Here is a 26,166-nt window from a genome sequence, read left to right on the forward strand (position 1 = left end):
AAGGTGCCTCTGCGAAAGATCATACAAATCAACAGCCTTACCTGTGGCCATTCAGAAGACTGCACTTTGGTGTGTGTTTAAAACTATGAATAAAGTCAGATACAGCGCATGCTCAGCAGGCAATTTAAAAATATTTATAACATTGTTGTTTCAAAAACAAATTTCCTCAAACAAAGCAAAACTCAAATTTTTTTATCCATGCCAAGTTTAACGTTCTGAGACAAAGCTGTTTTGGAGTTTTCCGCTGAAGGAAAAAAGGCTTTTAAAATTTTTTGTTGAACGAAAAATAGTTCTCTCTTCCCTTTTGGGTACGCTTAAAGGGGTGGAATAAATTTTTCTCCAAGTTTCAACAAAATTCACCTCTGGCTATGATAAGGCATTACAAATTTAAGGTCTGTAAAAAATAATTTTAGAGAAACTAACAAGAAACTAAAAACTATGGGTTTAAAGAATGTAATGGTCATCTGAACTTTCAAGGCAGTCTTGCATGTAACTATACAAAAATTATATCCTGATACAAACAGGATATATTATATGTAGATAAGAATAATGTGTATACAACCATATGCATACCTAGAGAAGTTTTATTTTTCTTTTGCTAACTAAAATCAGAACTCTCTAAAGCCGAAAAAGAAATACAACAAAAATTTAGGAGAAACCCAGTAATAACATCGGCACAATTCATCTGTTTTTCATAGCAAGCGTGGAAAAGAAGGCAATCATACCAATTGATTAAATTTTGAGATATATAAAATAAAAATTTGATAAAAGAAGGTTTTTAAAGTATGAATTGCAGTAGAAATGCCTGTTTCGTTCCTGGTTGAAAATTTCTTTCTCTTCCTTGAATATCCCTAAGCATTCCATTTTACCATCTATCACCAAACCCTGAACAGCTCACAGATCTCACAGATCTTATTTAAATCTCTTACTTAATTCTTAAGTCTCTGAATGAATTTCAGCTCCTGCTCTACTTTCCAAGGGTGCTCAGCTGGCCTCACAAAAGCTCCACAGACACATCGTTCACTATCTCTGATGCTTTCAAGCTTAACAGAGGATGCCAAAAAAAAAAAAAAAATCAACGATTAAAAAAAGTTTATTAAAGTGAAACTAGGAGTGCAAATTTGAAGAAGTTGCTTCTACTTTTATTTCTCTCTCAACTCAGCACAGGTGTTTCCTAACTTATACTGCTGTGCATGCTGATGAAGGGGAGGGTTAAATTAAGGTGAGGGAGTGGGCCAAGGGCAGACCAACAAGCATATAGGATCTCCAGCCTCATGTGTTAATGGATGTGTTTAAAAATGGACCCCCCAAAAAGCCTAGAATGAGGTTTCTTTTTGGCAAATAATTAAACCAGTATACTGAAATAATTAAAGCTTTGTCTTTAAATAAAGCATCAGATCAACAGAACAAAAACAAAGATAAAAATTGCACACACATATGCATGTGCGCACACACGCTATGACACACACAGATACGCAAAACTAGTGGGTGAGGGGAGAAGGAAATTAAATAAAAGAAAACAAACAGAGTCCTAACAGGCCATTCTCCGAAAAGGAATCTAAATAAAAAGTCATATGATATCTGATAGTGCAGGACACGTCGCCAAGAACTGGAGCGGATTGCCTACAGGAAGAAAGGGCCAGTGTATTCCAGCTCAAAGAGCTTTTCTTTCCTCCTCCTCTATTTTTTTTCCCTTTTCTCCTCGACTGTGAATGTGTCACTCTCAGGTCAGATCCACGAAGAATCCCAGAATGACAGCTATCACCTGTCACTGTACTCTTGGCGGCACAACTAGCTGATAGGAGCTGCCTGAGTTGGGATCAAGAAGAGCTAGTGCAGCTTTCAGTAACAGCCTGTTATCCCAGTCCCTCTGCCCCTTTCAAAGATCCCCTTGGTCACATCAAAAACAGACCAAAAAGAAAAAGAAAAAAGAAAAAAAAGGGGGGGTACCAAATGAAAAATTAAAAATGCAGGGACAACAGCCCACAGCAACAAAAGAATTCAGGGAGAAAAAATAGAACACAAGCAAAAAGGAAAAAAGCAAAACCAAAACAACTCTTGTCTTCAATATAAAACTTTTTAAAGACTGAGTTTCTCTTATTTGGATGACATTCTTTTTAAAAGTATTTTTCTCCTTAAGCACTATTAAAAGCATTAAAAAATTCTACAAAAATACAGAAAAGTCTGAAAGCAATTCAAGAATATTCCTAAAGAAAACATGTAAGTGTAAGAAGTGAGTTACCCTGGAAAATTCTGGATTTGCCAAAAGTTCCCCTACTTCTAATATCTTTCAGTGAGTTCAAGTGCTAACACTGGCCACCTAGTACTTGTTTTTTATCTGAGGATCATTACTGAGGCAACACATACATAGTAAGGTTTCCCGAAAAGACTCCTTGTTATCAAGTTACTTCAAACATAAGGCACTCACACCTCCCAGCCAGGAGGGTTTTTTGATGAGCATCACACTCTGCCCTGATATGTATTACACCCTTAAGAAGCAGTTACATAAATGCATTCTATAATTATGGAAAATGTATATATCTATATTTTCCCCTACATTTTCCCTCCCCAGGGATATGAATAGATTTTATTTTCAGTTAATAGAAAAAAAAAGAAAAGAGTTTCTGATTCTTGAAACAACTGTTGTAGCTGTTTTCTACTTAGCAAAACAGTTATCTGTAGTTAGGAATGGTACATAATATATATTTAAGGATTTTTGTAGAGCTTGAGAATTGTTCCCCTTGTTTAGTTTCGTGTCTATAATGTACCTTAAAAAGATTTCTAAGTGACAATCAACATATAAATGCATTAAGAGGAGAACTTTAAGAAAGAAAACATTATCTTGGGTTTACAAATCCAGGATATTAGCATAAAGATATAAATGTACAGCATATATAAAAGATAAAATTGTTTACTACATTTTACACATACAGCTCACATCTGATTTCTTTTTGCTTTTGTTGGAGCATTAATTTGAAAATGATAAGCATTCTGAAATGTTTGCTACAACACAAATTCATGGTAAAAATATACATGCATAGGCAAAAATTGAAATGGAGAACACAAAGCTACGTGGCAATCAGAATCGTTGACAAAATCTCCATCTAGACTATATTTTGCATGAACTAGTGTATCATAGAAGGGGCAAGAAATCTCTCTGGGGGTTTTGTCATTTACATAATTAGAAACAAAAATAAAATACAAATATCTGCTCCCTTACTACCTTTTCTTAATAACTGACAAGTGACACAAGTGGTACCTTTTAAACAGATGGATGCAAAAACTTGTGAGATCGAATGAACTGATGTACCCCATTGGTATTTTGGGAACCCAAATTCCATAATTAACTTTTTACCCAAGTGGCAAAAGTAGAAGATGTTCTAGTCACCAAATTGATTATTTGATGGACTTTTGTTCTTTCTTCCACAAGATTTTGGCGACCCAGAAAGGGTAAAGACATGATAAGAGAAGATGCATCCTGAACAACTTTTATTGTGAGTAGAAAAAAAATAGCATAAAGTGAGCATAAGAACAGTTGGATTTGGAAAGATTAAAAGAGGAGAAAAGAGCAACATATGCAACTTAACTAGTCTTTTTCTTTTTAATTTTTTCATGTACATATATGTATATATTGGGATGATGGGGAGAAAAGATAACTGGATTTCTTTTGAATGTCTTTGTGTCTTTATAGAGTGAATGTTCTGTTCCTGTCTCTTTCTTTTTAGGCGAAAAACTAATAAAAATAGAAAAACATATATCAGACATTAAGCTCACTCCCCCCCCCCCCACCCTTCCCTTTGTAAAGAACTCTTTGTTCTCTAGTGAAAATGCTGAAAAATCCCCGGGCAGCTACTCCCTGAAACAAGTGCAAAACACTTAGAGGCTTTTGGGCTGGCTGGGAGCCAGAAACCCTCCCGCTGTCTGGTTAGAAGAGGAAAAAAAGAAGAGAGAGGGAGAGGGAGAGAGGGGAAGAGGGATGGGGGGCAGAGAGAGAGGAAGAGAGAGAGGAAGAGAGAGGAAAAGAGAAGGGAGAGAGAGAGAGAGAGAGAGAGAGAGAGAGAGAGAAATTGGAGCTTCCTTTAATAGACATAGGAAGCAGCGTTTTTTTCTTTCTTTTTTTTCAAAACTGGCGGTCAAGCGTTAAGTAACTCCCGTCTAAATCCACCTGCTAGAAATGAACTTGGGTAACCCCCCAGGGGTGCACAAAGACAGGGAAGACAGTAACATACTCCATACTCTTTCCCACCCCCCGTTGTACTGCTTCCATTCTTTCTGCTCTCATACACAAATGCCCACAGCTTCTCACGCCGCCCCTCTTACCCCCCAACAACAAACACAGCAAAATACATGCTCCCTCGGTCTCCTAAAAAAAAAAAAAGGCTTTTCCATCTCGGTTGCGACACAGTGATAAGGGGTAGCGAACATCTCATACCTGGTGTGAATGCTAATCAGTCAGGAGTTCTCCTTTTCCCAAGACAGGGAACTGTTTCCTTCCAAATTTATTAGAACCTCCTCCACTGCCTCTTTGAAAAACCTTCTTTGTCACCCTCTCCCAAGTCCCGATACTTCTTTAAAAAAAAAATGGCTTCGGAGCTCCTTCTATTCTTGATATTGATTCTCTCTCTCTCCCCCCACCCCTCCTCCTCTCTCCTGTCTGTGTCTCTTCTGAGTGGTCTATTGATAAGTCCCTGGAGGCACTGGGTCAGCCTGCCCGTAGGAAACCAGACACAATGCACAAATCTCCGAGTGCCATTCTGCCATCAGCAAGCAGACCACGTTTAGGAGAGAGAGAGAGGAAAAAAAAACAGTAGAGCAAGAGACAGAGAGAGAGAGAGAGAGAGAGAGACACCAACCGAGGGAGGGAGAGAGAGACTGAGAGAGAGGAAGAGAGAGGGGGAAGAGAGAGAGGGGGGGGAGAGAGAGAGAGAGAGGGAGAGAGAGGAGAGACGGAGAGAGAGAGTGTGTGAGAAAAAGACTGATTGGAACAGGAGGGAGAGAGAGAGAAAAGGAGAAGGAGAGAGAGCGCGAGAGGGAGAGCGGCACTGCCAGTCAGGTTAATCATCCCTACTTTAATTAGCTGTTCGGCTTAGACATAAAACAATTGAATTTGAATGATCTGTCAGCAGGCTCGGCTGAACCAAAGGGGAAAAGCGAATATTACAAAAAGACTGTTGGTGTGTTCTGATAAGCAATACTGCTCGTACTGACAAATCCTCAAAGGGGGAACTATTAAAACTTACAACTAAACAAAAAGTGCAAATACAAATGGCACTAGATAGAGGTCTTTAAAAAATGGAGTTTTCTCCTCTAGTTTTATGAACCATAGATATTTATGTGCAGGTGCCAACATATTAGGGGTTTTCGTGTAATGTGTGAAAGTTTATTAACGATGGTCTAGGAGTGTAGCAGACAGATGCTGCAGAGAACAAGACAGGTACAGTCAGATGCCGAATCTAGATCTTGGAGGGAGAAGGATGCTGGAAGAAGAGGCACCGTGGCAAGAGATCAGCACAGACAAAGTCAGTGGGCAGATAGGCAGACAGATTTTAGGCACGGCACGATCTCATCTAAAAAGGCAAAAGTTCTGATGCAATATTAGGTACAAAACAATCCATCCATCCTCCTCTCCCGGGTGCACTCCAAGGTACAGTTAAAATGGATTAATCTTTGTGACAAACAGAGCTGGCAAGGCAGACACTGAAGGCGATTTGCAGACCCAGAGAATACAGAGCTAGAAAAAGCCCCAGAGATCAATCTCTCCCCCTCCCAATTTAGTAGAGAGGAAACTGAGGCCCAGAGTCGACACTAGACACTAGGACTCCAGGAGCCCACCAGGCCAGTGCTCTTTCCACCACACCAGCTAACCTAGAGTATTCTTTGAAGATCTGGCCCAACAGGTATGAAAATCACCCTTACCTCCCAAATAAGAAGATTACTCCACCTATATAGTTAGTGCACAAACCTCCAATTTCTCAAAATGTTTAAATAGCCAAATGGAAATATAATTACATATATAAATACATTTCCACTTTATATATATGTGTGTTTATGTATATATATATATATGGAGAGAGAGAGAGAGAGACCATTTTGAATGCTAGGAACAAGGGATTTAAGTCTTTAATTCATTCTAGGAGAAAAGCAGAAAAATATAATATTGTAGAGGCCTCGTCTCAGCAAGATATAACTTGTGTCACATTTTCAAGCTAATGAAGGCTAGTGGTTTGATCTACAAAGACCTCACCCTGAATTTACAATTCGCTCTATGAACATCATCTGCTATATATCACCAAGTGAGAAGATGTGGTTTTTCTCATACACCTCGTTTCTAAAATATAGGCACATTGTGGGTGAAAGAGATTGAGTCTTTCAGCATACTATGTAGTTTTAAAGCACTGATGAGATTTTCCACCTGGAGAATTAGGTATGTACAACCTTTCCAATATATTTCAATTGAAAATGAGCTACTAAAAAGGGGAAACTATATTTTCCGCCCATGAAAGTGATGGTATCTTTTTCGGGACACATATGATCATGTTCACTAAGGATTCCCTTTTGACAATGGGTAATTGAAGGTCCAGTTTTTAAATGGTGAAAGAGGTGCTTATGAAGAGAACAGTGCCATCAGATGTTACTGGAGAGATTAAGTTTCTTGCCCTAAAACAAGACTCAGGATGTGTATGAAACCGAAAACTATCTCTCAGTCATGCTTCAGCAACAACATTGCTACTTAGGGAGAAAGAAGAAAACCGAAAGAAATGTCAGGCACGTGGGAGCCCACTCAAAGACAAGTAATCTGAGAGAAGTCATAGCCAGAGTAATTTAGTTTATTTGCACACCAACCTCTTTAACAATGGCTGCTATGCCATGCCTAAAACACACGGCCTACAGTTGACTGATTTGGAAAGGGGGAAGGAATCAGTGATTTTGATAATGGCAGATCCTTTGGCAAGCCCCAAAATACCTGATAGGCCAGAGCCCAGAAGAAAGCAGTGGAGTGCTTAGTAAATGTCTGTTGGTGAACTGAGAAAAAAGAACAAGAGCTTTGGAGCAAACACATATTTATATATAACACTGCAAAAGTCACAGCTACTCTGAAAGCCTCAGTTTTCCTTTCTGTAAAAGGTGATGATATTGGTCCCATAGAGTTGTCTTAAGGATGACATGAGGAAACATATAAAGTACACAGCTAGTCATTACACGGTAGTTATTATGGAGGAAGGTGTGTAAACAAAAGTGTATATTATGGATGTGCTGAGTGTGTTATATTCAAAGCATGTAGGTTCAAGACATGAAAGCATATAGCAAAGCAAGGATCTAATATACAGATCTCTACTAGAAAGGATTGGCAGTAGAGATTATAAAGTTTAGAACTAAATTCCTAAAATCTAAACTTCAAGGATGTTAGGTCATCTGGGGTTGTATTATTTCTTTGTTCCCAGATTTTACTATATTTCCTGGCTCATAATAATAATGATGGCCAACATATTACTAATTGGCTTGCCCTAAGCAGTCTGCTAAGGACTTTACATTTTAAAATCATACTTTAGCATCACAAGAATCCTATGAATGAGGTACTACCAATATCCGCATTTCATAGAAAAGAAAACTGAGGTATAGAAAGATTGTGTAACTTGCTCAAGATCACACGCCTAGCAAGTGAGGAGCTGGGAATTAAATCCAGCCAATCTGATTTTAAAGCCCGCATTCTCAGCCATGGTACTAAACTGGCACACAGTAGGTATTCAGTCAATGTGTGTTGAATGAATAAGCAAATAAAAAAAACACTAGAATTTTTATTTCATTGGAGATCAGTAATAATCTGTGCAAAACCACTTGAGAGAATCTTGTTTTCGAATTATAGAATCTGTCCTTCTTCTGTAGCTCACTTCAGGTGTAGTCCTTTGTCAGAAACCAGGGTGAGCCATGTCCCTGCATGGTGCTGAAAATGGATGAAGGGAAGAGTGCTGACCATGACCACCCAGGGCATTTAAATATCTGACGGCATTTTCAGCACTTTGAGGACAGTGTTAGCACAAGGGTTATTAATTGGCTTAATTCCAGTTCGGATAATTACATCGTGTCTCTTTAATTTTCCCCCGACTATGCCATTCTTCACTTCCTGTCACAAATGTGCTCTTTAAAAAAGCATACGAATACACACAAACATATAGTTATATTTAAGGTTTGCATAATCATTTAGGGTGCTTTTTTTTCTAAATGATCAGTGTATAGTAGCTATGTAATAAATGAATGGGCAAAAGAATTAAAGTCATTGTAAAATAAAGATAACTAGTTGAAGCTTTTTGTTTGGCAATGAAACAGATTTTTAAAACATTTCCTTGGTGACAGAATTCCAATCACATTTTTTTCTCATGGGCAGATATTTCCAGAGCTGATGACCTGCTCATGATAAGCTGATTTTCTTACACTATGTAGTTTCCAGTATAAAAAAATACCAATGAAAACTTCGATATTTTAGAGTAGAAAATGAGACTAAGTCCTGAGTGGTAGAGCATACTGAACGTACGGGTTTTCAGTGAATTATTAACCCATTTATTAGCTCTGACTTACTTGACAGGTTTTTTTTTTTTATCTCCAAACATATCACTAGAATAATCTTCAAATTATGAAAGAAAAGGACAACATATCCTAATTTAATAAGCTTAGGAAAGTTTGACAGTCATAAACAGACACAACTCCTTTTCCTTTTTCCAAAGAATTCTTGGCCTTTGAAATACTGTGCCTGCATTATACTAAAGAAACACTCCCAGAAAAATATGCTTAAAACATGTACACAAATAGGTAAATGCACCCATGGTAGACCATAGTTTATTAGGCCTTTTTAGTGTACATTTGTATGAATAAGTCATCAAATATAGGGAGTGTGGAAAATAAGAGAATAAAGGGTTAATTTATTTATTATGCAGGAAGGTTTCTAGATCTTTGCTCCTTCAGCTTTTAGTTCAAAATTCCATGCATATTCTGCACATAATAATAAATGCCATAATTCAACGTATCTCATAATTTGATTTACTTTCAAGCACCTTTTTTTCTGGTTCAGCTCTTGAAGCCTTCCTTCTTATAAACTTCCTCCAAGTTATTTTTTGTAGCGCTCTGTAAAATATCATTTAAAGTTGGTGTTCATAAGATAACCCTCATGCTATAGAGAGATTTGTATCAAACTAGTCCATATTTCCTTTTGAGAACCAGTGGTCAAGTCCCATGCTCTTATCTGAGAACAAGCCACAATAAATATATAAAACAGCCCTTTCCCACCTGTTTGACCCCTGTAATAATGATAGCAGTCTCTCAGTGACTGCCCTCTGGTTAGTTACTCATTCCTTAAGACTGAGCTCTTCCAGGACAAGGTCTTTCCATTCTACCTTGTATATTTAATGTATTGTCCAGCATCACACCTGCCATGGTGGTAGATGATCTCCCAGAAAAGCTGGAAGCAACAAATTTTAATTCCCTTTGTTCTTCATGAGTAAATACAAATTTTTCTCTCTGTGTGTCAAGTTTTCAACATGTAAAAGGGGCATACTTTATCCTAAGATTAGTGATTTGATGTTCAGAAAATAATATTGGAGGGTATAGTATTTAAGAATTAGCTAGTGAAAAGCACTTGTTTTGGTTATTTTCATAGTATCGCCACTATTTTTATAGCAAGAAGTACTTAGAAAACATGTTTTAAATTCAAAATTTAGGTGAATTTTGAATTCAAAAGAAAAGTGGACAAGATTTATCCTGAATATTAGAGATAGTAAGCACTTGGTTTTTAAATGCCATTTAGGAACAGCCTGACAGATTTTATACAAGCAGAAGGTATTTAGGAAATTCTCTGGTTCTCTCAGTTTACAGAGAAGAGCTGAGTGGCAGAGATATTTTATCTGACAAGCTTAAGGTAAAAAAACTTGGTAGAAGTGAACTAGTGCTGGAACCCAGTCTGTCTGTCCCTGGTTCCACACTCTTCTCACTCATACTTTGAAAGATGGCTTTTATACTCTTGACTCCAGATCCCCTCTTTTTTGGACATATTTTACTGACGGAACTCTTAAATTCTGGTGCTGATAAAGGGGTACAATATTCCTAATGTAGTCTGATAAACACACTACAAAGGAACTATAGTAGGCTGAGGAATGGCCCCCCCCAAAAGATATCCATGTCCTAATCCCCAGAACCTTTGAATGTTACCTTACGTGGCAAAGGGGTCTTGCAAATATGATTAAATTAAGGCTATTAAAATGAGGAGATTATCCTGGATTTTCTAGGTGGACTCTAACTGTAATCACAAAGGTTCTTATAAGAGAGAGGCAGGAGGATCAGAGTTAGCAGATGTGATGACAGAAACAAGAGGTTGGGGTTATTTGAAGAAGGGGTCATGCACCAAGGAGTGCAGGGTCCTCCAAAAGATAGAAAAGGCAAATAAATGGATCCTCCTTTATAGCCGCTAAAAGGAACCAGCCCTCCCAACACCTTTACTTTAGTACAGTGAAACTGATTTGAGACTTCTGGTTTCAGAACTGTAAGAGAATACATTTGCATTGTTTTAAACCACCAAGCTTGTGGTAATTTGTTATAACAGCCATAGGAAATTAACACAGGGACCATCAGCTACCTTGATCTGGACATAATCTTTCAACACAGTTGAAATATTTCTTAGCTCTTTAAAAAATTATTTTAGCAGATATATTACCTTACTGGTTCAAACTGAGCTTGTGATACAAGAACCCTTACCAGTCTTCAGAAAAATATTGACTAGGATAAGTCAAGGAGGGTCTTTTCTCCTGACACTAAGAGCTTCCTTCTAAGTTGACATAAAGCAATCAATCTAATGATTATTGGTTAATTGATCAGTTGGCTGCAGATCCATCTAATCACATTTGCCCACCTCCTGTCTTATAGTAACTCTTCACTGGTGGTTTGGCAATTGTATCTCCAAGTTAATCTACAACAGTAGTTCTAGTTAGAAGCAAAGAGAAGGGTTTCAGTGTCCATTTCTTGAGTGCCAGAGACCTGAACTCATTCAGAAGTGAGTGCTCTCTTGCTAGACCCCCACCCCACATTTTTTTCTGAGCTTTCTTAACAGAGGTCAGAAAAAAGAAGCATGAGGCAGCTTAGGCAAAAAACAAACAAAACAATCTCCTCCCCCCCCCCTCTTTTTTTTTGAGACAGGGTCTTGCTCTGTCACCGAGGCTGGAGTGCACTGGTGGTGTGATCACAGCTCACTGCAACCTCAACCACCTGAGCTCAAGGAATCCTCCAGCCTCAGCATCCAGAGTAGCTGGGTGTGACCACAGGTGTGTGCCACCATGCCAGGCTAATTTTTAAATTTTTGTAGTGATGAGGTTTTGCTATGTTGCTCAGGCTGGTCTCAAACTCCTGGCCTCAAATGGTCCTCCCACTTGGGCCTCCTAAAGTGCTGGATTACAGGTGTGAGCCACTGCGCCCAGCCCCTATCCAAACTTTAATAAGACTCTTTTGCCATAGTGTATCATTGCCATTCAGTTACCGCTTACATTCTATAGGATAGTGCTCCTAAAAGAGTAGTCCTTGGGCCAGCAGCATCAGCATTGCCTAGAAACTTGTTAGACACGTAACTTATTGTGTCTTATTCTAGACCTACTGAATCAGATGCTCAGAGGTGGATGTCTGAGTGTGTATATTTTAACAAGCCCTTTAGGTAATTCTAAAGCCTAGCTGAGAACAATTGTCATAGGACAAATCTGTGAGGCTCATCAAGGCTAATGAAAAAACACGTTGGACTCAGAGTGAGATCACCTGCTAATCTAGGTGTCATGGTGACTCTGTCATTTGCCAGCTATGTGACTTTAGATTATGTTCTTAGTCTATTTGTCTCATCTGTAAGATGGAAATAATAATAATTAATAATAATAATAAATTGCTTTATGTGAAAAGTTAATGTAGAAGTTAACAAGATCATGCATATGAAAACACTTTACAACCTCAGGGTTATTATTGTAGAAGAAACATCAATTTGGATTGCAAGTATCCTAGGACCACATTGTTGGTGATATTGCCTTGATATTTCATATTAACTAGGGCTCCCAGGTAGTAATACTGAAAAAAAGTTCAAGAAGCTCCAGATGTCCAATTCTCCAGGCCAAAATAAAGGCTGGAAGTCTGTAGATGTTTAAAGGGTGTGATGCTGAATGGAGGATCTGCTGGCATTATTAGTCTCTAGAACCAAGTGCTAAATTTCTTGATTTGAAAGTCTACCTTTCTATTTATCAGGTAGCAGAATTTAGTGACAGCTTTGAATTCTGTATGCCAGTGAAAGTCTATGGCTTGTGGGATTCAGAACCACAATTTTTTATCAATTTCCAATGACACTCAGTTTTAGTAAAGTGGCCCATGATCTCTTGCATTTCCATACCATATTCTCAAATAAGTAAGAAGCTCCAGGGAGCTCGCTCAACAATTGATTATGGTCACATATTTTTTCAATAGAAAATATGTATATCCTGGTAGGTGGGAAGGATGGTCCTGATCAGGACTGAGATCTTTTTAGAGGTTCAAGTCCAAACTCTTAGTAGGTTGAAGGGAACTCAGATGCAACCAGATTAGACACAACTATGATTTTCATGGAAAATCATCAGAATTTTATCCAATCTCTGAGTAATGAAAATTTGCAGTATTTCTCAACAGCTCTATATATGTGGAGAAAACCACCTCATAAGAAAGCTAACCATGTCTTTTCCTTCTTTCATGAAATAATAGTGACGTATGCCTCTTGGCCTGAGGACTCGTCCTTCCTCTGAAGACTAATGTCTGCACGTCACCTTTTGGCAACCCCTCTGTGCCTTGCAGGACAGTTGTGTAGCAAAGATTCTGTTTGGGTTGCTGTTTCCTCTGAGCCAGTCACACTGGTGCATCAGGAGATGCAGCTGCACCTTTTAAGAGCTCTGTGTCCTTAAGCAAGTCATCTGTCCTTTTACATTTCATAGATTTTTCATTTGTAAAATATGAATAATATGTGCCTTACCAATCTTACAAATTGTTCTGAAGATCAAAATGGATGATGTATCCAAAATGCTTTGTAAACTAAGAATCTCATTCGGTTGGTGTTACTGATGTTGTTATTATTTACTCTTTAGCAGGAGAGTAAAGATATATACAGACATATTGGGTACGGTAGCTTGAATATTTTTAGACATCTACGTTGTATATGCCTCCAAGGTTTCCCCCTGAACTTACATTAATCCCTTTTTCAGGTTACAGCTAAGGTGGTAACTAAGGATGTTAATTTCCTTTAGGTCCCTATAGGATCTCTATTTTGATCATGATTAGTTTATACATGAAATAGACACTGCTGCAGAATTTACAATGTTTCCATTCTGGCCAACTCAACTTTGAACATATTCCCTAAGTAAGAACAAATTCAGTACTATAACACTGAAGAAAACATAGCATCCGAAGCTGGTATTGAGGGAGTGAAAATATCTTCAAAGGCTTTTTCTTGATTGCTTAATATAAAAAATCTGCTTAGAAATGTCCACTAGTTCAACAAGCATTCCTGAAGGAAATCTGTAACAAAGCTACTGTGCATTAACATTTAAAAGAACAGGAACATGTAGTCTACCTCAAAACAAATTATTATTGCTTGAATTGCCCAAACTTTGTTAACCAAAATTGAATTTCGCCTAAGTTGAATTCATGTGAAGAGCTCATAATGCATTGTTGCTATTTAGATAGTTGTCATAGTATGTGGTACTCAGTAAGTCCTCTAAAATGGAAGGGAAATTAACTACATGGTATAATTTCAACATAAGTCATTAATATAATTGTGCGAAGAATATCTCTGAATATATTGAACTGCTATTTGAATCTTTAATTGTGCATACAATTCTACCTTTTCTGCTATGCATCCTTAACTAGACTATATGCTCCCTGAGGACAATTCCTGATTTACACATCTCCAAATTTCCCGCTGCCTTCAGTACAGTGGTTTACAAGTAGCATTTGCTTTCAAACTATCTGCTGTTTAATTATATTCACTTTTTATTGGCTTTTCTTGGGGGGCAATTTATGCACATAAAGTGTCCATAGATAAATGCATCATTATCACTGAGGTGAAAGTTGTGATTCTTAATTTTTTTAAAAAAACATATACATTGGGCCACTTATTTTTCCTGTGTGACACTCAATCTAATTATAGAAGTGAATAGAAAAACATGATCTCTTTTAAAAGGCGCACTTTACGTGAAACAATTTTAGGAATTCAGCTTATGTGTCAAGTACAGTCATTCTGCACAGTGATGGTGATGGGGAGGCTCTATGTACTATGGTTTTGACAGAAAATATTTTAACTTAAAGCCAGCTACCCATAAAATTACGTAAACATAAATATGCACTCTCCCACAAACACATTTGCACATCTTTAAACTTAGATTAATGCAAAGAAAAGATATATTCTTTTGTTCTAGTGGAATACAAATGATAAAGACTAATAAATGAATAAATAAAGCTCTAGGTAACCAAATCAATGTCTGCTCAATTCTGGTCAAGGAGGTGAAGGGAGGTTTCCCTTTGAGTCAGAGAATGTAGTGGATAAAAAGGACATGAATAGCTGGGGGGATTTCCTGAGGCCATTGTAGACCAGCTCACACACTGTTAAGAGGCTCATTTTCATGAGACTTTTGGTTGCATTTGTAACACTTGCTCTAGGTCCCCTAGAGCATTGAGTGCCACATCACAGCACTACAATAACAGGACTAAATGCAAGAAGGTACATTACAAGGTTCTTTTTCTTTCAGCTCTGAATATCCAGGAGTTTGTAGATGTTCTCAAGACTTTTTTTCCCCTTCGTTTTTCCTTCTCCCCCAACCCCCACACACTCCCTTCAAATAGAACTAAGTGGAAAGGACTGTTTTGTTTTTAGGTAAAAACCTAAATTCTTGTACTTAAAAAAAAAAAAGCCAGTTGTAAAATCTGTAATATAATTAATTATTTCCATAGGTAAGAGATATTTTATTTTTTATAAAACCTGGTCTGACTGGTAAGTTTGTTCTAGATTAAGGATTTAGCTACAGTTTGGTGAGTGTTTGTTCTCTGTTAGGCTTGGTGCATATTAATTCGTACATATTTTAACATTTCACTACTGTATTAAATTATTAATAATTTGAAATCATTAGCTTGTACTGACACCATTTTTCTGAAACAGTACCACCTGTTTCTTCTAAGTTTGGTCCAGAACAAAAGTCTGAAATCTAATTTGTCAAGAAAACAAATGTGTAGTTCAGAAAAAGGATAGGGGCCAGGTGCGGTGGCTCATGCCTGTAATCCCAGCACTTTGGGAGGCCGAGGCGGGTGGATCACCTGAGGTCAGGAATTCAAGACCAGCCTGGCCAATATGATGAAACCCCGTTTCTACTAAAAATACAAAAATTAGCCAGGCATGGTGGCACACGCCTGTAATCCCAGCTACTCAGGAGTCTGAGGCAGGAGAATCGCTTGAACCCAGGAGCCGGAGGTTGCAGTGAGCCGAGATCGCACCATTGCACTCCAGCCTGAGTGACAGAGTGAGATTCTGTCTTAAAAAAAAAAAAGAAAGAAAGAAAAGAAAGGGATAGGAATCACCAAAAGAAGGAGGTCCAAAGTCCAATGTTAGGATGATTATGCTCATGACACGGCCATTTAATCTTTAAAACAAATATAAAAGACAGGTATTCCCTGTGGCAGAGCTGAGCTTTACCTCAGGTCTGTGTGACAGAGTCTCATCTCTTCTCTTATACATCCTCAATCTTCAGACATTTAAGGTCTCTGAGTATCCAGGATTTCCTTTGCGACAATAATTAACAAATACATGTATGTACATTTGTGTGTGTGCATTATGTTTTAAGCATATATATATATATGCAGGAAACTCACATCTGGAGTACCAGAGTCTACAGGCCAGGACTAGATACTTAGATCTCTAGGGAAGTGATCCAAATATCTAGTTGCAGCTATGTAGATTTCAAGAATGCAGTGAGGGGAGAAAGAGTATACTTAATATATGAGTACATATACACTATATATATCCCATATATGTATGACATATGTAACTAATAATAGTCAACCCTCACTAACACAATGTGCCTAATATTATTGTAAGCACTTCACACCCCGTTACTTTGTTCTCATAACATCTAAGGTAGGCATCATTATTATTATCATCTAGTTTTACAGATGAGACAAGCAAGGCACACAACTAATAAGTGGCACAGTCCAAGTTCCTATCTGTGATCCTGTCTTTTTCATGGACCTTTTCCTATCTGTTGCCTCCATGAGAACATATCTGAACTTTGGCCTATTCTTTTTTAAGACTTTGCTCCCTCTTAGGAGATAACAAGTAGCAGAACTCACATGTTACCCAGCCAATAGTGTACTTAGCTTGGGAACAAAAGACTAAATTTGTGGAAATTCCTCACATTTGTACAAGAGAACGTCCCAAAGCAAGATACTATGGCCTGGAAAATGGAAGAGATAGTTTGGGCAGGTGGATGTTTTGGGTCTCCCAAATCACAACACATGTGCAATGCGCAACCATCAATACATAAATCCAATTTAATTCAGTATATATTTAATAAGCACCTGCTGTGAGCAAGGGACTCTGCTAGGACCTAAGCTCTAGAAAGTAGCTACAAAGATTAGAAGCAATAATCCTAATATTTAGAACATGGGAGAAAAGAAATACCACATAACTAAAACACGATGCAAATAAGTTAATACCGTAAAGCGTTGCTAAAAAAAATCTGTAGGTTTCAGTGACTTGAGGAATATCATTTGCTATTCAGCGGTGGACACTGACAAAGTTACCTGAAGCAGGCAGTGTTTGAGATGGACTTTGGAATGTGGGAAAATTCCAACAATTAGAAATTGGAGAGATAGGTTTTAGGCAAGGGAAACAGAAAGAGTCAAAGCAAGGGATAGGAAAGCACAAACTGTGTCTGGGGTCAATTTGACTAGCTTCTAGACTACTCAAAGGATAGCAGTAGGAGTTTGAGATGTTGTGGGTGAAACATGTGGAAATGTCCATTGAGCAGCAGGAAACCCACATGTGCAGTACCAGAGTCTACAGGCCAGGACTAGATACTTAGATCTCTAGGGAAGTGCTCCAAACATCTAGTTGAAGCTATGTGGATTTCATGAAACTGTCCACAGATTTCAAGAATGCAGTGAGGAGAGAAAGACAGACAAACTTACATTTTGTGGGCAGATAAAGGGAGGATGGATGAAAGATCATTCAGATGAACAGGAGAACCATAAAAACAGACGCTATAGAGTGTAAAGGTGAAGAATGCTTCAAATGCTTCAAGAATTAGAGATAGATAGTCAAAACAATCAAATCATAAACAGGATACCTAGGATTGCTGTGAGGAAGAGGTATATTTAAGAGCTAGAGTCTTCATCACTGTACTCATCTTTGAAAGGACCACCTCTTATTGCTTTCTACCCTTTCCCTAAACTCAAGCATGCATACAATCACACACATAAACAAACATTATTTTTTCCTAGGAAAAATGTTGGCATTATTAACTCTGAAGCAAAACTATATCTGGAAGTTTTTAGAGTAGTTAGCAAGATCCAAACTTTATGGTTTGATTTTAATTCAAAAGATAACTGAATTTTTATATGCAGGTTAATTATTCCTTGGTGGGAATGTGAATTTATTTGTATTTTATTCAGGAAGTATTTTTGAGCATTTCCTAACTCCAAGGTATTGTGCTAAACGCTGGGATCAGAAAAATTTCCATAAATGCTTGGATGGCTTTTACCTGGGAGCACTCCTTCCTATGGTTGGCAAAAAGCTGACGCCTTTGTGATGATGAGTTTCAGTCCTAGCCTCTAAGAGTTTTTGTGGTCATGTTATTAAGTGCAATGTTTATGTGTATTTTTTCTGTTCCAAGATTTTTTTTAAAGTTTTGAATATTTTTTTATGTCACCAAAAGGTGCTTTAGAAGAACAAACTAACTCAAAGCCAACACAGAAACTGGTTCTCTTGCTTTGCCAAAGTGGCAGTGTAGCATGTGGGCAAGTAAGAATACTTTTCTCAAGTATTTAAAACAACTACAGAAATCTTATTCTTCATTGTATTCTCTAAAGAATAAAGGTAAGAAGGAAAATCAGGTTTTGATAGAGAATTAAAAAATAGCTTTAGCATATGTTCAAACCATTAGGTCAAAAGGGACTAACAAAGCCCTGTAGAAGGGGACCCACAAAAGCTGCCCTTGGGACTTACTTATTCACTTATTTGTTTATATTTTTTGTATATGTACATATTTTTCTGATACTGCTTTGACACATCACTTTAGCTCTTTTTCTATATGTATGAATATTCTTCTCCTACAACATAGGAATCTTGATGTATACATAGTTTAGTAATCTGCATTCATTCTTTCAAGATAAACATTTTTAATCCTACATGGTATTCTATTCTAAGGATATACCAGCATAAAATACAATTTAAACAATCACCTATTTTTGGACATTTTGGTTGCATTCTGACTTTTATTCTTTTCAATAATTCTTTGTCCAGTATCATTGGGCATAGTCTTTGCAATGCTATTATTTAATGAAAAGAAAATTTTGGAAACTTTAACAGGTAATACCACAAGCGAGGAAACTTAATACAACGACCACAAGCAATGAAAGAAAAGTCAAATGCCTCAAGGAGCCAGGGTGGAAGAGCAAATGAGTGAAGTAGGTGTGGCATAAAATATGGGGTGATAGGGACTTTGTCAAACTGGAGAGAACATGGTTTGTCTGAAGTGAGCAGCTGCTACTCAGTTCCAGATATTGGTGCCACATGTGGATGCAGATCTAATGTTGTCAGATCTCCAATTTTTCAAGAGAAGCAAAAAAAAAAAAAAAAAAAAAAAAATCTAGTTTTTTTTTGGTGTGAAATCTCTTTAACCTTAAAGGTTGGCTCAAATTATTTTAAATATTCTGTGGACCAAACATACATTTTAAAAAATTCTATCTGCTAGCTAGATGCAGCTCATAGGCCACTGATTTGTAACTTTCTAATTAAAGAAAGGGCAAGACGGTGTTTGGAAATATATTTCTAGGTAGAGAGTTAAGCAAATAAAGTTTTACTTCAAGTTTTCCTAGTCACAAGGAATGTAATGTGGAGAGACTGAACCTCAATGTGCAAATCTTGAAAGATGGGTAAATACTGCTCCCCACTTAACACCCATGAAGAATTTAATAGAAGAGGGGTCTAAAATGCTTTTAATTTCACAAAGAAACATGCTTTAATGATATAAAACTCTAACCCAGTGCACTGTATGATGATATCTAATGATAATTTCCCTTCATTTCCCATCTGAACAAACATTTCCCATTAACATCCACCTGCACTACTTCCTTTCATAAAGAGGAGGTGGTATTTGGCTATGTTCTGGTTCTGATTCATGAGAAATCAGCCCAAGCCCAACATTTCTGTTCTTAACAGATTTTGGTTTTTAAATCTGTAGAACACAATGTTTCCCTGGGCTGAGTTCTAGCATGCCAAGTTTTGGCTGGCCACAGACTTTGACATCTGAGTGAAAAATCTTTCAACAATGGCATTTAAACTGAAGAATCAACAGACCTTTAATTATAACACTGCTTGTAATTCCCTCCCTCTCTTATCATGATGTTCAAATTGCCTCAAATCACTAACTGCATGGACAGCATGTTATTTCATTTGCCATTGGAAATATCATAATTTTAAAACTTGGGGGCTTGAGATTGTGCATTAATTTTTGAAAAATCAGTATTACTTATTCACCATAAATTAAAGAGGCATATGGAACGAAGGTCAAAATTACTGATTCATTAGAAATAAAAAACAAAAACCACTCACCACACAATTTCTCAACTTATCTAAAATGCTCAAGATTTAGATTAAAAACAATATTTCCACTTGGAAATTAAGCATTAAAGATATAGAAAAAGGGAGTCTCTTTTTAGTGAGATTTCACTAAATACCTCTGGTATCTCTCCATAAAATGTTAGGTGATCATTTCTTAACAGCTTTTTAAAAATGACACAGTCTCAGATTACCCTATGTTTCCCTTATATAATAACAAAAGACACTTTTATACTACTAAAGTACATTAGGAATCCTTTGAAAGTTTCTGTTTTAGAAACTGATGTTGAAAAAGTACTTAATTTATATTTAACCTGCCTATCTGAATATACTTAGTGGAAAAATTAGGGTTAAAAATGTAAATGTGGAAAATGTTTATTTCCATGTTTTATAGTAGTTAGTTTTTTATTTGCTTTTAAATATAGATCTTGGTTATATGTGGAAGACAGGCATAATTTCAGCTCCTTTTTCATCTTGAAGAGAAACCTGGCTCTCAATTTCCAGGAAATATATTTATTTAGACCTAACAATATACCAGAATTTTATGCATTATTTCTAATCTTCATAATAAGTCTACAAGTTGGGTGTCATTAATCTGTTACTGATAAGGAAATTGAAACTCAAATAAATTTAATGCTTTTACCAAGGTGATTTAGTTAGTGTCTTTTTGTCCATGGATTTTAAGTGGTAGAATTTGCATGCAAACCCAGATATGACTCCAACGGCTCTGCTTTCTCCTTTAGAAGAAAAAAACTCCTTCCTGAAATACTAACATCTTTTCTTTGTGTAATTGACCATCCTTTCTTAATACAATTGGTTATCAGAGCTATCATATTCTTAATTATCAGTATTACCTTACGACTCTAAAATTCATCTTTGTCCAGTGTATAGAATTCACATCCTAAGGTTAGATATAGGAGATTAAGTCTCTGATCTCCTGGAGCAGACCTGGTTTCAAATCTTGTCTTTTATTATCCCCATAAATATGCATGTATTTATAAAATTATGTCCTAAGTCTTTGTTCAGAAAATATGTAGTGTCTGACATTATTTTGTGTATAAAATGCTGAAAAGGTCACATCCAGGAAACTAGTCCTGACCAGCATACAACACTCAAGAAAGGTTCTCCAAGGTAGAATCAGGGGAGAATCCCAATTGAAGTTGTTGAGGGGAGTAAAGATAATAAATAATATTAACAATAATAACTCCATGCATTGAACTCTTAATATTCTTCATCCTATCTATATATCATATTTAATTTTTACACTACTCCCATTTTGCGTGTGAGAAAACAGAGGCTTAGAGATGGTAAATAACTAGTTCAAGGTCACATGACTAGTGGCATTTTACTCCAGAGCTTTGCTTTTTGTACTTTGCTAAACTCTCTCCCAGAATATGGGAACAAAATCTAAAGAGGTAAATTCAAAGATCAATATTAAGATGATAAATACAAGATGCAGCCAGGAATCAGGAATTGGAGTGGGAACAGATGAGGAAACAAGGTGGTGGGTCCAGCAGGGTTGCATGGTTGAAGTCAGCAAATGTCTGATATATGGGGGTGTCATGTCACATTGAAAGTACAGCTACATCAGGGAGGTGGAGCGACTGAGAGAATATGTAGAGGGTGACAGATATAGGACTGCTTGGCTGATTTCATGTTTTTCCTTTACAAATGTAAATAAAACATTGTGTGTTGGAGGTCAGAGGGCAAAGGAGATATAACTGAGGACTCTACTCAAAAAAACATCTCGCTTCATGTGTCATTAACTGAACAGGGGAAAGAAACTCAGTTGTCTAACAAGATATTTTTAAAATATTTATTTCTCCAAGAGGGTTAAACCTCATTTACACCTTGGAGTAAATTACTTTAATAAGGTTACCAGATCACCTAACTGAATGTAACTAAAGTCAAGAAGCTGCAGTTTGAATGGGGAAAGGAAATGGATAACTGTGGAACTGAAGGGTGGGAGAAGGGGATGATAGTGACACAAGCAAGGATAAAAAGGATTTCCTTAGGCGAATAGGAGGGCACCAAAGATAATTTTATGAAAAGACAGTTCAGGGCTAAATAAATGTAAAGTACTAACATCATCATTATCACTAGTTCTACTCTGCACTTATGTCTAGAATTTTTGTAGTAGCCAGTGTACAGACAAAATCACTAAAATTGGTTGCTAATTTCTGATTTACAAGCTGAGCAGAATTCCCTACTTAGAGTAACTCCTCAAAACATACTTGTTGAGCAAAATGGGACGTCAAAATTTTGCCTGGAAGTTGGAAACTTTCAGATTTTCCAAATTCCAACCTGTTTTTACAGTCTAGGTTAATCCAGTCTAACCTATCAAGTTCATCTAACTGGGTCCTCCCTGGGAAAAAGGAAGAAAGAGGACATAGGAAGTGAATAAAGAATTGATACCTCAGCTGGGCGCGCAGTGGCTCATGCCTTTAATCTCAGCACTTTGGGAGGCCAAGGCGGGCACATCACCTGAGGTCAGGTGTTCAAGATCAGCCTGACCAACTTGGTGAAACCCCGTCTTTACTAAATATAAAACTTAGCCGGGCGTGGTGGTGCAGGCCTGTAATCCTAGCTGCTTCGGAGGCTGAGGCAGGAGAATTGCTTGAACCTGGGAGGTGGAGGTTGCAGTGAGCCGAGATTGTGCCATTGCACTCCAGCCTGGACAACAAGAGCGAAACTCCATCTCAGAAGAAAAAAAAAAAAGATACCTCACTGCTCTCCTTCCCTTCTGTGTGGCCCAATACAGCATGCTGTTGACCCTGGGGAAGCTTCAGAATGTATGATCTAGGAAAGCTGAGGCAATGCTGTAATAACAAGAGCTATGTGAAAGGTAAAGTATGAAATGTATGATGGAAACCAAACCAAAGAGGGTATGTTAAAGATAAGCCCATTAAGGAAATAGCTCACCTGTTGGACTGGAATCTCAACTGGCTCTTTTATTTCACGCTAAACCTGTGCTGAGTCTGCACAGAAGGACTTCTGAAATGCTTATATATACAACCTGACAGGTACAATCAGAAACAGTACAAGGACTGCGTGCCTCAACAAGAATAGCCAGAGCACTGAAATCAATTGCAGAGCACAGACATACTTCAACTGTGGCTATGCAGACAGTCCCCAGGTATGGCTGGTGAACAGCACGCTTTATGTGTGCTATGTCCCAGACTTCCTGGCTTTCTTCCCTTCCGTCCTACCCCTTCGGCACACACTACATATCTTTCACATTTTATAAAATCACAGGAGATTTCCAAATTATTGTGTCTTTCAAATACTTTAAAAATATATTGTCCTCCTAATATAAAGGAGAGAGGTGGAGTATTTAGCTGATGAACTGAATTTGAAAGTAAGTTTGCATTTTTGATATATTTCCTTCCTTATGAGTGAGTCATGAAAAATGCATATTTTGTCTAAATATTGATAAAGCTTTAGAATATAAGAGCTGGAGTGAACCTAAGAGGTTTTGTAGCCCGGCAATTTCCAACCCAGGATGTGTCTCAGAATCACATAGAGAGGTTTCAGATTCCCAGCCAGGCACAGTGGAATGTGGCTGTAGTCCTGGTGACTGGGAAGGCTGAGGCAGGAGGATCACTGGACCCCCAGAGTTTGAGGCCAGCCTGGGGCAACATGGTGAGACCCCTGTCTCTAAAAAATAAAAAGTAAGTAGAAAATACAAATCACAGATTCCTGGGCCTTTTCCTTCCCCTGCCTTCCCCAAGTGATTCTAATTCTATGTCAGTTTTGGCTGCTTGCAACCAGTTATGGAGACCAGGGATCTTGATCAATCTCTTCATCTATCTGATGAGGAATCTGAGACCCAGAGAAGTAAGAGGTACAGTGATTTCTCTAAGGTTACACAGTGTATGAGTCCATTTGCACACTGCTGATAAATACATACCCAAGATTGGGAAGAAAAAGAGGTTTAATGGACTCACAGTTCCATGTGGCTGGAGAGGCCTCACAATCATGGCAGAAGGCAAGGAGGAGCAAGTCACATCTTACATGGTGGCAGAGAAGAGAGAGCTTATGCAGGGAAACTCCCCTTTTCAAAACCATCAGATCTCTTGAGACTTATTCACTATCATGAGAATAGCACAGGAAAGACAAGCCCCCTGATTCAATTACCTCCCTCTGGGTCTCTCCCACATGTGGGAATTGTGGGAGATACAATTCAAGAGGAGGTTTGGGTGGGGGTACAGCCAAACCATATCCCACAGGAATATGTTACAAGTGAAGATAGTCTATGGACACTGTAAAATTGACCCCATTAGCTATATCCCAAACTAGTTCATTATTTTAGAATCTATTTTGTGTGTTTGCATGCATACAGCAATGCTTCACATATCTGCACACCACTTATGTGGCATTCCAAATATGGTTAAGAACAAACAAAGTGAAAAAGACCTGCAAGCAGCCAAAATTGGTACTAAATAAACCACACATAATCCTCCAAGTCTTTTTAAAAGCCTCTTCTCTTGCTTCTCTATCTAGTGAGGCATAGGTGACTCAAAATCTTTATCTCCAAGCCCGGCCCTTCTGCTGCACTATAGTGTCGTGTCTCCAAAAGCCTAGTGGACCACTCACAGATACCCAGTCGGCACCTTCACTCAGTGTGTTCAAAATTAAACGTGTGCTTTCCCCTCCCAACCCTTCTCCTGCTTTGCTGCTCTGTTTATGACTCTACTAAGGTTCAAAATCATAGAGATGTGTTTGGTGTCTTCCTCTCCCTTGCTCCCCAAATATAATGGATTAATTCTCCCGCCACATTTCATAAATCAGTTTGCCATCTCTGTTCATTCCCTCTGCCCCTGCCCTAGTTAGTGCCTTCATTGCCTTTCACCTGGACTATTGTAATAGTCTCCTGCCTGATCTTGTGTCCTCTGGTCTCTCCCTACTCCAATCCATTTTACTCACTGTTGCCAGATTAATCTTCCTGAGGCACAGCTCTGATTATGTTACTCTCCTACTAAAAACTTTCAATAGCTCCCCACTGTCTCCTGAATAAAGTCCAAATTCCTTGCCCTAATAATCAAGTCCTTTCACTTTCTGGTCCCAATATACTTTTACCGCTTTATTTCCCACTACTTATCTTCACACATTCCATGCTCAAGTTAAACTCAATTACTTCTTTGCAGAATCTTTACCCTTTGATTCTTCCATGCTTTTCTCATGATAGAGTAATGTTCTTTCCTTCTATCTCTGTATGCTCAAATCCTGCTTGTTTTTCAAAGCCCAAATCCAGTGTCATCTTTTCTGATGAAGCCCTCAGTTAGCCCTCCTCTGAGCTCCAAGAATACCTTATCTGTACTACTTTTATAGAGCATTTCACTTTTCACTATTAATTCTAGCAAAGTAGACACATGTCTCAGCTCCGTTGCTAGATTAAAACTTCTAGGGCAAGACATGTCTTATCTGTGTATCCTCTCCAGTGCCAAGTATACAAGTGCACGACTCACAATATTTGTCAAGTGAATGAGTTCATGTATGTACTTTACACACAATCAAAACATGTTTTTTTGTTTTATTGTCTAAAGAAGATTAGAAATAATGCATCAGAGAAGGAATGAGGATCTTAGAGACTTGCACAACAGAAAGTAACTTAATAGCTAAAGAAGAAAAATAAAAACTACGAAAAGAAGGCATGAGAACTAAAGATATAGCAGTCAGAGGGTAAAGAAACACAGAAGCAAATAATCTTATAGAATAAGGACCAAATGGTTAATTGAGAAGCTTGGAAACCATAAAATAACATTCAAATATGTAGCATTATTTTTATACTTCCACACCCTCATCAATAGAAACAAATTTGAATTGTAGTTCAAGATAACAACCCTGAATCATTTAGAAAAGTTTGAATTATGGTAAGTATATTCTTTTTTTTGAGATGGAGTCTTACTCTGTGAGGCTAGGTAAATAAGCTGCCTTTATTAATGAAGAAATTCATATTTTTCTGAATATTAGAGAAATATTAATTTTTCCCAATTAAGATATGTTCATGATATACAATTTAGAAAATATAGGAGAGTAATAAAAAATCTTAAAAATCCTAAAAAAGGTGGGATTATACCATATGTATTACTATGTATGCTGCCTTTTAACTTAATATATAGTATAAATAGTTCATACTATTATAGGTTCTTCATAAACATTTACTGGCTCAAAATTCTATCTAATAGATATGTCGTACTATACTTAACACAGCACTCTAGAGTTGAACATCTAGCTTATTTCCAGTTTTATAATACAAATATGTCTAACAAGATTTACCATGGGCTGACAACTGTTGAAGCAGA

The 26,166-nt window shown here is 37.5% G+C and overlaps 1 protein-coding gene and 1 long non-coding RNA gene across 18 annotated transcripts in view; one reads left to right on the forward strand and one right to left on the reverse strand.

Moving 5' to 3' along the window:
- The window catches only part of ZBTB20 (zinc finger and BTB domain containing 20), an 832,789-nt gene that overhangs the window by 135,647 nt on the left and 670,976 nt on the right, over positions 1–26,166 (reverse strand). The gene's annotated exons all lie outside the window — the stretch shown is intronic.
- ZBTB20-AS5 (ZBTB20 antisense RNA 5) overlaps positions 3,447–26,166 on the forward strand; it is a 66,540-nt gene continuing 43,820 nt past the window's right edge. The window contains exon 1 of the long non-coding RNA NR_121661.1: positions 3,447–3,494. This is a non-coding gene — a long non-coding RNA (ZBTB20 antisense RNA 5). The remainder of the gene's footprint in view (positions 3,495–26,166) is intronic.

Source organism: Homo sapiens, chromosome 3 (genome assembly GCF_000001405.40).
Source record: "Homo sapiens chromosome 3, GRCh38.p14 Primary Assembly".
Lineage (NCBI taxonomy): Eukaryota > Metazoa > Chordata > Mammalia > Primates > Hominidae > Homo > Homo sapiens.